The sequence below is a fragment of the Homo sapiens genome, chromosome 1, assembly GCF_000001405.40.
Source record: "Homo sapiens chromosome 1, GRCh38.p14 Primary Assembly".
In the NCBI taxonomy this organism is placed as follows: domain Eukaryota; kingdom Metazoa; phylum Chordata; class Mammalia; order Primates; family Hominidae; genus Homo; species Homo sapiens.
Genome location: NC_000001.11, coordinates 149494001 through 149506773, shown reverse-complemented (window position 1 = coordinate 149506773; position 12773 = coordinate 149494001). Strand labels below are relative to the sequence as shown.

General features: G+C 44.1%; 1 protein-coding gene across 1 annotated transcript in view; it reads right to left on the bottom strand.

Annotated features, from left to right (window-relative positions):
* NBPF19 (NBPF member 19) overlaps positions 1 to 12773 on the bottom strand; it is an 81317-nt gene that overhangs the window by 49588 nt on the left and 18956 nt on the right. Inside the window, exons 18-33 of the mRNA NM_001351365.2 lie at positions 12284 to 12456; positions 11523 to 11574; positions 10700 to 10872; positions 9877 to 9985; positions 9077 to 9249; positions 8306 to 8357; positions 7529 to 7701; positions 6768 to 6819; positions 5945 to 6117; positions 5122 to 5230; positions 4316 to 4488; positions 3545 to 3596; positions 2768 to 2940; positions 2007 to 2058; positions 1184 to 1356; positions 361 to 469 (exon numbers count right to left, since the gene is read on the bottom strand). Coding sequence (NP_001338294.1) covers positions 361 to 469; positions 1184 to 1356; positions 2007 to 2058; positions 2768 to 2940; positions 3545 to 3596; positions 4316 to 4488; positions 5122 to 5230; positions 5945 to 6117; positions 6768 to 6819; positions 7529 to 7701; positions 8306 to 8357; positions 9077 to 9249; positions 9877 to 9985; positions 10700 to 10872; positions 11523 to 11574; positions 12284 to 12456 — 1971 coding nt within the window. The remainder of the gene's footprint in view (positions 1 to 360; positions 470 to 1183; positions 1357 to 2006; positions 2059 to 2767; positions 2941 to 3544; positions 3597 to 4315; positions 4489 to 5121; positions 5231 to 5944; positions 6118 to 6767; positions 6820 to 7528; positions 7702 to 8305; positions 8358 to 9076; positions 9250 to 9876; positions 9986 to 10699; positions 10873 to 11522; positions 11575 to 12283; positions 12457 to 12773) is intronic.

The window sequence follows — 12773 nt, the reverse complement described above, 5'->3', positions numbered from 1 at the left end:
GTGACATACTGGTAAGGGAGTAAAAGGACACTCTGAGTTAGTGCCCTCATGACACACAGCAAACTGTGATCATGAAAAGAGTGAGCTCAATAGTTTTCCATAAAATATGCTCAAAATTCGATGCAGTGGCCATGAGAGTACAGCTTTTGAAGTATGGTCAACCTATGGTACGTTAGGAAATGATAAGGGGAGGAAGAAATGGAAACCTAAACATCTACTGCAATGAAAACCAACAGCAATGACAGTAGGAGTAATTCAGCCTTCGTTGAAAACATGACATCAAACACACTCTGGTTTCCCTGAATCTGTTGCCTCCAGGTGTTAACACAGAATTAAGCATCCACAATTGCTGAAAGTCACCTGGGGCATGGTGGGTTTTGATCTTCTTCCCCTTCTTTTCTTCCCCTTCTTCTTTCCTTCTTTGATCTTCTTCCCCTTCTTTTCTTCCCCTTCCCCTTCTTTTCAATTTCTGCAATAAATTCAGACATGGACAGACACATTAAGCTGATTCCCCTACACACATAACAATCCACTGTCTAATCCTCACACAGGGACCTCAGGCTCCTCAGCATAAGAATAGGACACTGTGAGAGATATATTTCAGGAGGCCTGAAGGCTGGTCATGATAGAAATTCCTCGGTTTTTCTCCCAGAAACTGTGGGTAAAATGTCCCTATTCTAGTAGATCGTTATCCCAATATCATTTGTCCCAAGTTTGTGCAAACAGTTATGCCATATTTTTCCAATCAATTTAAAGCAAATACCCTCAAATGATTTCTAGGAGAAAAACTGCAATATTTAGCCCTGTCTCATCAAATACTCAGATTGTTCATGGTTGTGAGGACTTTAGACACTGAAATTAGAGTGAAAAAGGAAATCTACAAACCCTTGAGTCAAAATCATAGTTCTCTGAATTTGTCACATCTGCCCAGGTCCAATGTCATGAGAATAGGATCAGGGCGCCACAGGTATGGCCTGAGACTAGGAAGAGAGTCTTGCTCACTGACCCATCCCTTGTCTGGGCTTCCAGGTAGAACTAGAGTTTCATTCAACCTACATGTGCCTATAGGTCCTCACTGCGGCAACGACATCTCTCAGCTCAGTAATGGCCACTTGGAGCAGGAATATGATCTTTATATGGAAGACTCAGTGGATGCTTATCACCTTCATAGAAAGGTACTCACCTCCCACGTCAAGAGAAAAGCCAACATGTTTTTCCTCCAATGCATAAAAGGAACTTCCATAGGGCTGGCAGGAGTCAGGCTGTTCAAGACAACTGGAAGGAGTTGAATAACATCTATCCAGTGAGTCCTGCAAGACTTCAGGCTCTACTACCTCCACCAGCTCCCTGCTGAGCCTGGAAAAGGAGGAAAAAGTAAAGAATAAGCCAGGGGAAATCACACACAACAGAGCCCCAACTAGGTTTCATGGGTAGCATAGGGAAGTGGTTAAGAAAGTAAAAGGATAGATCCATTAATGAGGTAACAAATTATTGCCTTCATGTTGGGACAGAACAGGGCCAAATGGAAAAGAATGAAAGAGAAAGACAGATGGACACACACACACACACACACACACGCACACACACACACACACACACACAGAGAGAGAGAGAGAGAACGAGCTCAGTGAATTGTCCAGGTGACACACTGATGAGGGAGTAACAGGACACTCTGAGTTAGTGCCCTCAGGACACACAGCATACAGTGATCATGAAAAGACTGTGCTCAATAATTTTCCATAAAATGTGCTCAAGTTTCCATGCAGTCGCCATGAGAATACAGTTTTTGAAGTCTGGTCCACCTACAGTAGGTTAGTAAATGATAAGGGGAGGAAGAAATGGAAACCTAAATATCTACTGCAATGAAAACCAACAGCAATGTTAGTAGGAATAATTCAGGCTTGCTTGAAAAGATGTAATCGATAATGTCAGCCCGCTCTGTTTTCCCTGAACCAGGAGTCTCCAGATGTCAACACAGAAGTAGCTGTTCACAATTGCTCAGTTACCTGGGGCATGGTGGGTCTTGGTCTTCTTCCTCTTCTTGGTCCTTTTTAATTCCTGCAATACATTCAGACAGGGACAGACAAAATAAGCCAATTCACCTACACCCATAACAGTCCACTGTCTAATCCCCACACAGGGATCTCAGGCTCCTCAGCATGAGAACAGGACAATGTGAGAGATATACTTCAGGAGGCCTGAAAGCTGGTCATGATATTCTTTGGTTTGCATCTCAGAACCAAGGGTGAAATATCCCCATTCTGGTAGATCGTTATCCCAAAATCACTTATCCCAAGTTTGTGCAAACAGTTATGCCTTATTGTTCCCATCAGTTCAAAGAAAATGCCCCAGATGATTTCTAGGAGGAAAACTGCAGTATTCAGCCCTGTCTCATCAAATGCCCAGCTCGTTCATGGATGCAAGAATTTTAGACACTGAAATTAGAATGAAGGAGGAAATCTACAAACCCTTGAGTCCAAATCATAGTTCTGTGAATTTTTTGCATCTGCCTGGGTCCAATGTGCTGAGAGCGGGCTCAGGTTGCCACAGGCATGGCTGGAGACTAGGAATAGAGCCTTGCTCACTGACCCATTTCATGTCTAGGCTTCCAACTGAGACTACAGTTTCATTACAACCTATATGCGCCCACAGGTCCTGCCTGCGGCAATGACATCTCTCGGGTCAGTAAGGGCCACTTGGAACAGGAATATCACCCCTATCTGGAAGACCAGGTGGAGGCTTATCACCTTCATAGTAAGGTACTCACTGTCCACGTCAAGAGCCAAGCCAAGGTACTGTTCCTCCAATGAGTAAACAGCACTGCTGTAGGGCTGGCCTAAGTCAGGCAGTTCAAGATAACCTGAAGGAATCGAATAACATCTATCCAGTGAGTCCTGCAAGACTTCAGGCTCTTTCTCATCCAGCAGCTCCCTGCTGAGCCTGGAAAAGTAGGAAAAAGTAAAGAATAAGCCAGGGGGAATCAGAAACCACACAGCCCCAGCTAGATTTCATGGCTAACATAAGGAACTGTTTAAAAAGAAAAAGGACAGATCCATTAATGAGGTAATGAATTATTGCCTTTATGTTGGGATAGACCAGGGCCAGGTAGAGAAGAATGAAAGAGAAAGACAGGGAGAGGGAGAGAGAGAGAGAGAGAGAGAGGAGAAAGTGAGCTCAGCGAGTTGGCCGGGTGACACACTGATGAAGGGGTCAAAGGACACTCTGAGTTAGTGCCCTCGGGACACACAGCGAACAGTGATCATGAAAAGAGTGGGCTCAATAATTTTCCATAAACTTGCTCAAGATTCCATGCAGTTGCCATACAGCCTTTGAGGTATGGTCAACCTATAGTAAGTTAGTAAATGATAAGGGGAGGAAGAAATGGAAACCTAAACATCTACTGCAATGAAAACCAACAGCCATGTCAGTAGGAGTAATTCAACCTTCGTTGAAAACATGAAATTGAACACACTCTTGTTTTCCCTGGACCTGGCATCTCCAGGTGTCAACACAGAATTAAGCATCCATAATTGCTCAAAGTTACCTGGGGCATGATGGGTCTTGGTCTTCTTCCACTTCTTGGTACTTTTCAATTTCTGCAATAAGTTCAGACATGGACAGATATATGAAGCTGGTTCTCCTACACACATAACAATCCACTGTCTAATCCTCACACAGAGACTTCAGGCTCCTCAGCATGAGAATAGGACACTGTGAGAGATATTCTTCAGGAGGCCTGAAGGCTGATCACCATAGAGATTCCTTGGTTTTTGTCCCAGAAACTGTGGGTAAAATTCCCTATTCTGGTAGATCGTTATCCCAATATCATTTGTCCCAAGTTTGTGCAAATGGTTATGCCATATTTTTCCAATCGATTTAAAGCAAATACCCCCAAATGGTTGCTAGGAGAAAAACTGCACTATTCAGCCCTGTCTCATCAAATACTCAGATTGTTCATGGTAGCGAGGATTTTAGACGCTGAAATTAGAGTGAAGGATGAAATCTACAAGATCTACAAAATTGAGACAAAATCAGAGTTGCGTGAATTTGTCACATCTGCCCAGGTCCAGTGTCATGAGAGTAGGATTAGGGCGCCACAGGCATGGCCTGAGACTAGGAAGAGAGCCTTGCTCACTGACCCATCCCTTGTCTGGGCTGCCAAGTGGAACTAGAGTTTCATTCAACCTACATGTGCCTATAGGTCCTCCCTGTGGCAATGACATCTCTCAGCTCAGTAAGGGCCACTTGCAGTAGGAATATGACCCTAACCAGAAGACTCAGTGGATCCTTATCACCTTCATAGAAAGGTACTCACCATCCATGTCAACAGCCAAGCCAACACACTGTTGCTCCAATATGTAAAAGGCACTTCTGTAGGGCTGGCATGAGTCAGTCAGTTCAAGACAACCTGAAGGAGTTGAATAACATCTATCCAGTGAGTCCTGCAAGACTTCAGGCCCTTTCTCATCCAGCAGCTCCCTGCTGAGCCTGGAAAAGTGGGAAAAAGTAAAGAATAAGCCAGGGGGAATCAGAAACCGCACAGCCCCAGCTAGATTTCATGGCTAACGTTAAGGAAGAGTTTGAAAAGAAAAAGGACAGATCCATTAATGAGGTAACAAATTATTGCCTTTATGTTGGGATAGAACAGGGCCAGGTAGAAAACAATGAAAGAGAAAGACAGAGAGAGAGAGAGAGAGAGACAGAGACAGAGAGAGAGACAGAGACAGAGACAGAGAGAAAGTGACCTAGTGAATTGGCCAGGTGACATACTGGTAAGGGAGTAAAAGGACACTCTGAGTTAGTGCCCTCATGACACACAGCAAACTGTGATCATGAAAAGAGTGAGCTCAATAGTTTTCCATAAAATATGCTCAAAATTCGATGCAGTGGCCATGAGAGTACAGCTTTTGAAGTATGGTCAACCTATGGTACGTTAGGAAATGATAAGGGGAGGAAGAAATGGAAACCTAAACATCTACTGCAATGAAAACCAACAGCAATGACAGTAGGAGTAATTCAGCCTTCGTTGAAAACATGACATCAAACACACTCTGGTTTCCCTGAATCTGTTGCCTCCAGGTGTTAACACAGAATTAAGCATCCACAATTGCTGAAAGTCACCTGGGGCATGGTGGGTTTTGATCTTCTTCCCCTTCTTTTCTTCCCCTTCTTCTTTCCTTCTTTGATCTTCTTCCCCTTCTTTTCTTCCCCTTCCCCTTCTTTTCAATTTCTGCAATAAATTCAGACATGGACAGACACATTAAGCTGATTCCCCTACACACATAACAATCCACTGTCTAATCCTCACACAGGGACCTCAGGCTCCTCAGCATAAGAATAGGACACTGTGAGAGATATATTTCAGGAGGCCTGAAGGCTGGTCATGATAGAAATTCCTCGGTTTTTCTCCCAGAAACTGTGGGTAAAATGTCCCTATTCTAGTAGATCGTTATCCCAATATCATTTGTCCCAAGTTTGTGCAAACAGTTATGCCATATTTTTCCAATCAATTTAAAGCAAATACCCTCAAATGATTTCTAGGAGAAAAACTGCAATATTTAGCCCTGTCTCATCAAATACTCAGATTGTTCATGGTTGTGAGGACTTTAGACACTGAAATTAGAGTGAAAAAGGAAATCTACAAACCCTTGAGTCAAAATCATAGTTCTCTGAATTTGTCACATCTGCCCAGGTCCAATGTCATGAGAATAGGATCAGGGCGCCACAGGTATGGCCTGAGACTAGGAAGAGAGTCTTGCTCACTGACCCATCCCTTGTCTGGGCTTCCAGGTAGAACTAGAGTTTCATTCAACCTACATGTGCCTATAGGTCCTCACTGCGGCAACGACATCTCTCAGCTCAGTAATGGCCACTTGGAGCAGGAATATGATCTTTATATGGAAGACTCAGTGGATGCTTATCACCTTCATAGAAAGGTACTCACCTCCCACGTCAAGAGAAAAGCCAACATGTTTTTCCTCCAATGCATAAAAGGAACTTCCATAGGGCTGGCAGGAGTCAGGCTGTTCAAGACAACTGGAAGGAGTTGAATAACATCTATCCAGTGAGTCCTGCAAGACTTCAGGCTCTACTACCTCCACCAGCTCCCTGCTGAGCCTGGAAAAGGAGGAAAAAGTAAAGAATAAGCCAGGGGAAATCACACACAACAGAGCCCCAACTAGGTTTCATGGGTAGCATAGGGAAGTGGTTAAGAAAGTAAAAGGATAGATCCATTAATGAGGTAACAAATTATTGCCTTCATGTTGGGACAGAACAGGGCCAAATGGAAAAGAATGAAAGAGAAAGACAGATGGACACACACACACACACACACACACGCACACACACACACACACACACACAGAGAGAGAGAGAGAGAACGAGCTCAGTGAATTGTCCAGGTGACACACTGATGAGGGAGTAACAGGACACTCTGAGTTAGTGCCCTCAGGACACACAGCATACAGTGATCATGAAAAGACTGTGCTCAATAATTTTCCATAAAATGTGCTCAAGTTTCCATGCAGTCGCCATGAGAATACAGTTTTTGAAGTCTGGTCCACCTACAGTAGGTTAGTAAATGATAAGGGGAGGAAGAAATGGAAACCTAAATATCTACTGCAATGAAAACCAACAGCAATGTTAGTAGGAATAATTCAGGCTTGCTTGAAAAGATGTAATCGATAATGTCAGCCCGCTCTGTTTTCCCTGAACCAGGAGTCTCCAGATGTCAACACAGAAGTAGCTGTTCACAATTGCTCAGTTACCTGGGGCATGGTGGGTCTTGGTCTTCTTCCTCTTCTTGGTCCTTTTTAATTCCTGCAATACATTCAGACAGGGACAGACAAAATAAGCCAATTCACCTACACCCATAACAGTCCACTGTCTAATCCCCACACAGGGATCTCAGGCTCCTCAGCATGAGAACAGGACAATGTGAGAGATATACTTCAGGAGGCCTGAAAGCTGGTCATGATATTCTTTGGTTTGCATCTCAGAACCAAGGGTGAAATATCCCCATTCTGGTAGATCGTTATCCCAAAATCACTTATCCCAAGTTTGTGCAAACAGTTATGCCTTATTGTTCCCATCAGTTCAAAGAAAATGCCCCAGATGATTTCTAGGAGGAAAACTGCAGTATTCAGCCCTGTCTCATCAAATGCCCAGCTCGTTCATGGATGCAAGAATTTTAGACACTGAAATTAGAATGAAGGAGGAAATCTACAAACCCTTGAGTCCAAATCATAGTTCTGTGAATTTTTTGCATCTGCCTGGGTCCAATGTGCTGAGAGCGGGCTCAGGTTGCCACAGGCATGGCTGGAGACTAGGAATAGAGCCTTGCTCACTGACCCATTTCATGTCTAGGCTTCCAACTGAGACTACAGTTTCATTACAACCTATATGCGCCCACAGGTCCTGCCTGCGGCAATGACATCTCTCGGGTCAGTAAGGGCCACTTGGAACAGGAATATCACCCCTATCTGGAAGACCAGGTGGAGGCTTATCACCTTCATAGTAAGGTACTCACTGTCCACGTCAAGAGCCAAGCCAAGGTACTGTTCCTCCAATGAGTAAACAGCACTGCTGTAGGGCTGGCCTAAGTCAGGCAGTTCAAGATAACCTGAAGGAATCGAATAACATCTATCCAGTGAGTCCTGCAAGACTTCAGGCTCTTTCTCATCCAGCAGCTCCCTGCTGAGCCTGGAAAAGTAGGAAAAAGTAAAGAATAAGCCAGGGGGAATCAGAAACCACACAGCCCCAGCTAGATTTCATGGCTAACATAAGGAACTGTTTAAAAAGAAAAAGGACAGATCCATTAATGAGGTAATGAATTATTGCCTTTATGTTGGGATAGACCAGGGCCAGGTAGAGAAGAATGAAAGAGAAAGACAGGGAGAGGGAGAGAGAGAGAGAGAGAGAGAGGAGAAAGTGAGCTCAGCGAGTTGGCCGGGTGACACACTGATGAAGGGGTCAAAGGACACTCTGAGTTAGTGCCCTCGGGACACACAGCGAACAGTGATCATGAAAAGAGTGGGCTCAATAATTTTCCATAAACTTGCTCAAGATTCCATGCAGTTGCCATACAGCCTTTGAGGTATGGTCAACCTATAGTAAGTTAGTAAATGATAAGGGGAGGAAGAAATGGAAACCTAAACATCTACTGCAATGAAAACCAACAGCCATGTCAGTAGGAGTAATTCAACCTTCGTTGAAAACATGAAATTGAACACACTCTTGTTTTCCCTGGACCTGGCATCTCCAGGTGTCAACACAGAATTAAGCATCCATAATTGCTCAAAGTTACCTGGGGCATGATGGGTCTTGGTCTTCTTCCACTTCTTGGTACTTTTCAATTTCTGCAATAAGTTCAGACATGGACAGATATATGAAGCTGGTTCTCCTACACACATAACAATCCACTGTCTAATCCTCACACAGAGACTTCAGGCTCCTCAGCATGAGAATAGGACACTGTGAGAGATATTCTTCAGGAGGCCTGAAGGCTGATCACCATAGAGATTCCTTGGTTTTTGTCCCAGAAACTGTGGGTAAAATTCCCTATTCTGGTAGATCGTTATCCCAATATCATTTGTCCCAAGTTTGTGCAAATGGTTATGCCATATTTTTCCAATCGATTTAAAGCAAATACCCCCAAATGGTTGCTAGGAGAAAAACTGCACTATTCAGCCCTGTCTCATCAAATACTCAGATTGTTCATGGTAGCGAGGATTTTAGACGCTGAAATTAGAGTGAAGGATGAAATCTACAAGATCTACAAAATTGAGACAAAATCAGAGTTGTGTGAATTTGTCACATCTGCCCAGGTCCAGTGTCATGAGAGTAGGATTAGGGCTCCACAGGCATGGCCTGAGACTAGGGAGAGAGCCTTGCTCACTGACCCATCCCTTGTCTGGGCTGCCAAGTGGAACTAGAGTTTCATTCAACCTACATGTGCCTATAGGTCCTCCCTGTGGCAATGACATCTCTCAGCTCAGTAAGGGCCACTTGCAGTAGGAATATGACCCTAACCAGAAGACTCAGTGGATCCTTATCACCTTCATAGAAAGGTACTCACCATCCATGTCAATAGCCAAGCCAACACACTGTTGCTCCAATATGTAAAAGGCACTTCTGTAGGGCTGGCATGAGTCAGTCAGTTCAAGACAACCTGAAGGAGTTGAATAACATCTATCCAGTGAGTCCTGCAAGACTTCAGGCCCTTTCTCATCCAGCAGCTCCCTGCTGAGCCTGGAAAAGTGGGAAAAAGTAAAGAATAAGCCAGGGGGAATCAGAAACCACACAGCCCCAGCTAGATTTCATGGCTAACGTTAAGGAAGAGTTTGAAAAGAAAAAGGACAGATCCATTAATGAGGTAACAAATTATTGCCTTTATGTTGGGATAGAACAGGGCCAGGTAGAAAACAATGAAAGAGAAAGACAGAGAGAGAGAGAGACAGAGACAGAGACAGAGAGAGAGACAGAGACAGAGAGAAAGTGACCTAGTGAATTGGCCAGGTGACATACTGGTAAGGGAGTAAAAGGACACTCTGAGTTAGTGCCCTCATGACACACAGCAAACTGTGATCATGAAAAGAGTGAGCTCAATAGTTTTCCATAAAATATGCTCAAAATTCGATGCAGTGGCCATGAGAGTACAGCTTTTGAAGTATGGTCAACCTATGGTACGTTAGGAAATGATAAGGGGAGGAAGAAATGGAAACCTAAACATCTACTGCAATGAAAACCAACAGCAATGACAGTAGGAGTAATTCAGCCTTCGTTGAAAACATGACATCAAACACACTCTGGTTTCCCTGAATCTGTTGCCTCCAGGTGTTAACACAGAATTAAGCATCCACAATTGCTGAAAGTCACCTGGGGCATGGTGGGTTTTGATCTTCTTCCCCTTCTTTTCTTCCCCTTCTTCTTTCCTTCTTTGATCTTCTTCCCCTTCTTTTCTTCCCCTTCCCCTTCTTTTCAATTTCTGCAATAAATTCAGACATGGACAGACACATTAAGCTGATTCCCCTACACACATAACAATCCACTGTCTAATCCTCACACAGGGACCTCAGGCTCCTCAGCATAAGAATAGGACACTGTGAGAGATATATTTCAGGAGGCCTGAAGGCTGGTCATGATAGAAATTCCTCGGTTTTTCTCCCAGAAACTGTGGGTAAAATGTCCCTATTCTAGTAGATCGTTATCCCAATATCATTTGTCCCAAGTTTGTGCAAACAGTTATGCCATATTTTTCCAATCAATTTAAAGCAAATACCCTCAAATGATTTCTAGGAGAAAAACTGCAATATTTAGCCCTGTCTCATCAAATACTCAGATTGTTCATGGTTGTGAGGACTTTAGACACTGAAATTAGAGTGAAAAAGGAAATCTACAAACCCTTGAGTCAAAATCATAGTTCTCTGAATTTGTCACATCTGCCCAGGTCCAATGTCATGAGAATAGGATCAGGGCGCCACAGGTATGGCCTGAGACTAGGAAGAGAGTCTTGCTCACTGACCCATCCCTTGTCTGGGCTTCCAGGTAGAACTAGAGTTTCATTCAACCTACATGTGCCTATAGGTCCTCACTGCGGCAACGACATCTCTCAGCTCAGTAATGGCCACTTGGAGCAGGAATATGATCTTTATATGGAAGACTCAGTGGATGCTTATCACCTTCATAGAAAGGTACTCACCTCCCACGTCAAGAGAAAAGCCAACATGTTTTTCCTCCAATGCATAAAAGGAACTTCCATAGGGCTGGCAGGAGTCAGGCTGTTCAAGACAACTGGAAGGAGTTGAATAACATCTATCCAGTGAGTCCTGCAAGACTTCAGGCTCTACTACCTCCACCAGCTCCCTGCTGAGCCTGGAAAAGGAGGAAAAAGTAAAGAATAAGCCAGGGGAAATCACACACAACAGAGCCCCAACTAGGTTTCATGGGTAGCATAGGGAAGTGGTTAAGAAAGTAAAAGGATAGATCCATTAATGAGGTAACAAATTATTGCCTTCATGTTGGGACAGAACAGGGCCAAATGGAAAAGAATGAAAGAGAAAGACAGATGGACACACACACACACACACACACACGCACACACACACACACACACACACAGAGAGAGAGAGAGAGAACGAGCTCAGTGAATTGTCCAGGTGACACACTGATGAGGGAGTAACAGGACACTCTGAGTTAGTGCCCTCAGGACACACAGCATACAGTGATCATGAAAAGACTGTGCTCAATAATTTTCCATAAAATGTGCTCAAGTTTCCATGCAGTCGCCATGAGAATACAGTTTTTGAAGTCTGGTCCACCTACAGTAGGTTAGTAAATGATAAGGGGAGGAAGAAATGGAAACCTAAATATCTACTGCAATGAAAACCAACAGCAATGTTAGTAGGAATAATTCAGGCTTGCTTGAAAAGATGTAATCGATAATGTCAGCCCGCTCTGTTTTCCCTGAACCAGTAGTCTCCAGATGTCAACACAGAAGTAGCTGTTCACAATTGCTCAGTTACCTGGGGCATGGTGGGTCTTGGTCTTCTTCCTCTTCTTGGTCCTTTTTAATTCCTGCAATACATTCAGACAGGGACAGACAAAATAAGCCAATTCACCTACACCCATAACAGTCCACTGTCTAATCCCCACACAGGGATCTCAGGCTCCTCAGCATGAGAACAGGACAATGTGAGAGATATACTTCAGGAGGCCTGAAAGCTGGTCATGATATTCTTTGGTTTGCATCTCAGAACCAAGGGTGAAATATCCCCATTCTGGTAGATCGTTATCCCAAAATCACTTATCCCAAGTTTGTGCAAACAGTTATGCCTTATTGTTCCCATCAGTTCAAAGAAAATGCCCCAGATGATTTCTAGGAGGAAAACTGCAGTATTCAGCCCTGTCTCATCAAATGCCCAGCTCGTTCATGGATGCAAGAATTTTAGACACTGAAATTAGAATGAAGGAGGAAATCTACAAACCCTTGAGTCCAAATCATAGTTCTGTGAATTTTTTGCATCTGCCTGGGTCCAATGTGCTGAGAGCGGGCTCAGGTTGCCACAGGCATGGCTGGAGACTAGGAATAGAGCCTTGCTCACTGACCCATTTCATGTCTAGGCTTCCAACTGAGACTACAGTTTCATTACAACCTATATGCGCCCACAGGTCCTGCCTGCGGCAATGACATCTCTCGGGTCAGTAAGGGCCACTTGGAACAGGAATATCACCCCTATCTGGAAGACCAGGTGGAGGCTTATCACCTTCATAGTAAGGTACTCACTGTCCACGTCAAGAGCCAAGCCAAGGTACTGTTCCTCCAATGAGTAAACAGCACTGCTGTAGGGCTGGCCTAAGTCAGGCAGTTCAAGATAACCTGAAGGAATCGAATAACATCTATCCAGTGAGTCCTGCAAGACTTCAGGCTCTTTCTCATCCAGCAGCTCCCTGCTGAGCCTGGAAAAGTAGGAAAAAGTAAAGAATAAGCCAGGGGGAATCAGAAACCACACAGCCCCAGCTAGATTTCATGGCTAACATAAGGAACTGTTTAAAAAGAAAAAGGACAGATCCATTAATGAGGTAATGAATTATTGCCTTTATGTTGGGATAGACCAGGGCCAGGTAGAGAAGAATGAAAGAGAAAGACAGGGAGAGGGAGAGAGAGAGAGAGAGAGAGAGAGGAGAAAGTGAGCTCAGCGAGTTGGCCGGGTGACACACTGATGAAGGGGTCAAAGGACACTCTGAGTTAGTGCCCTCGGGACACACAGCGAACA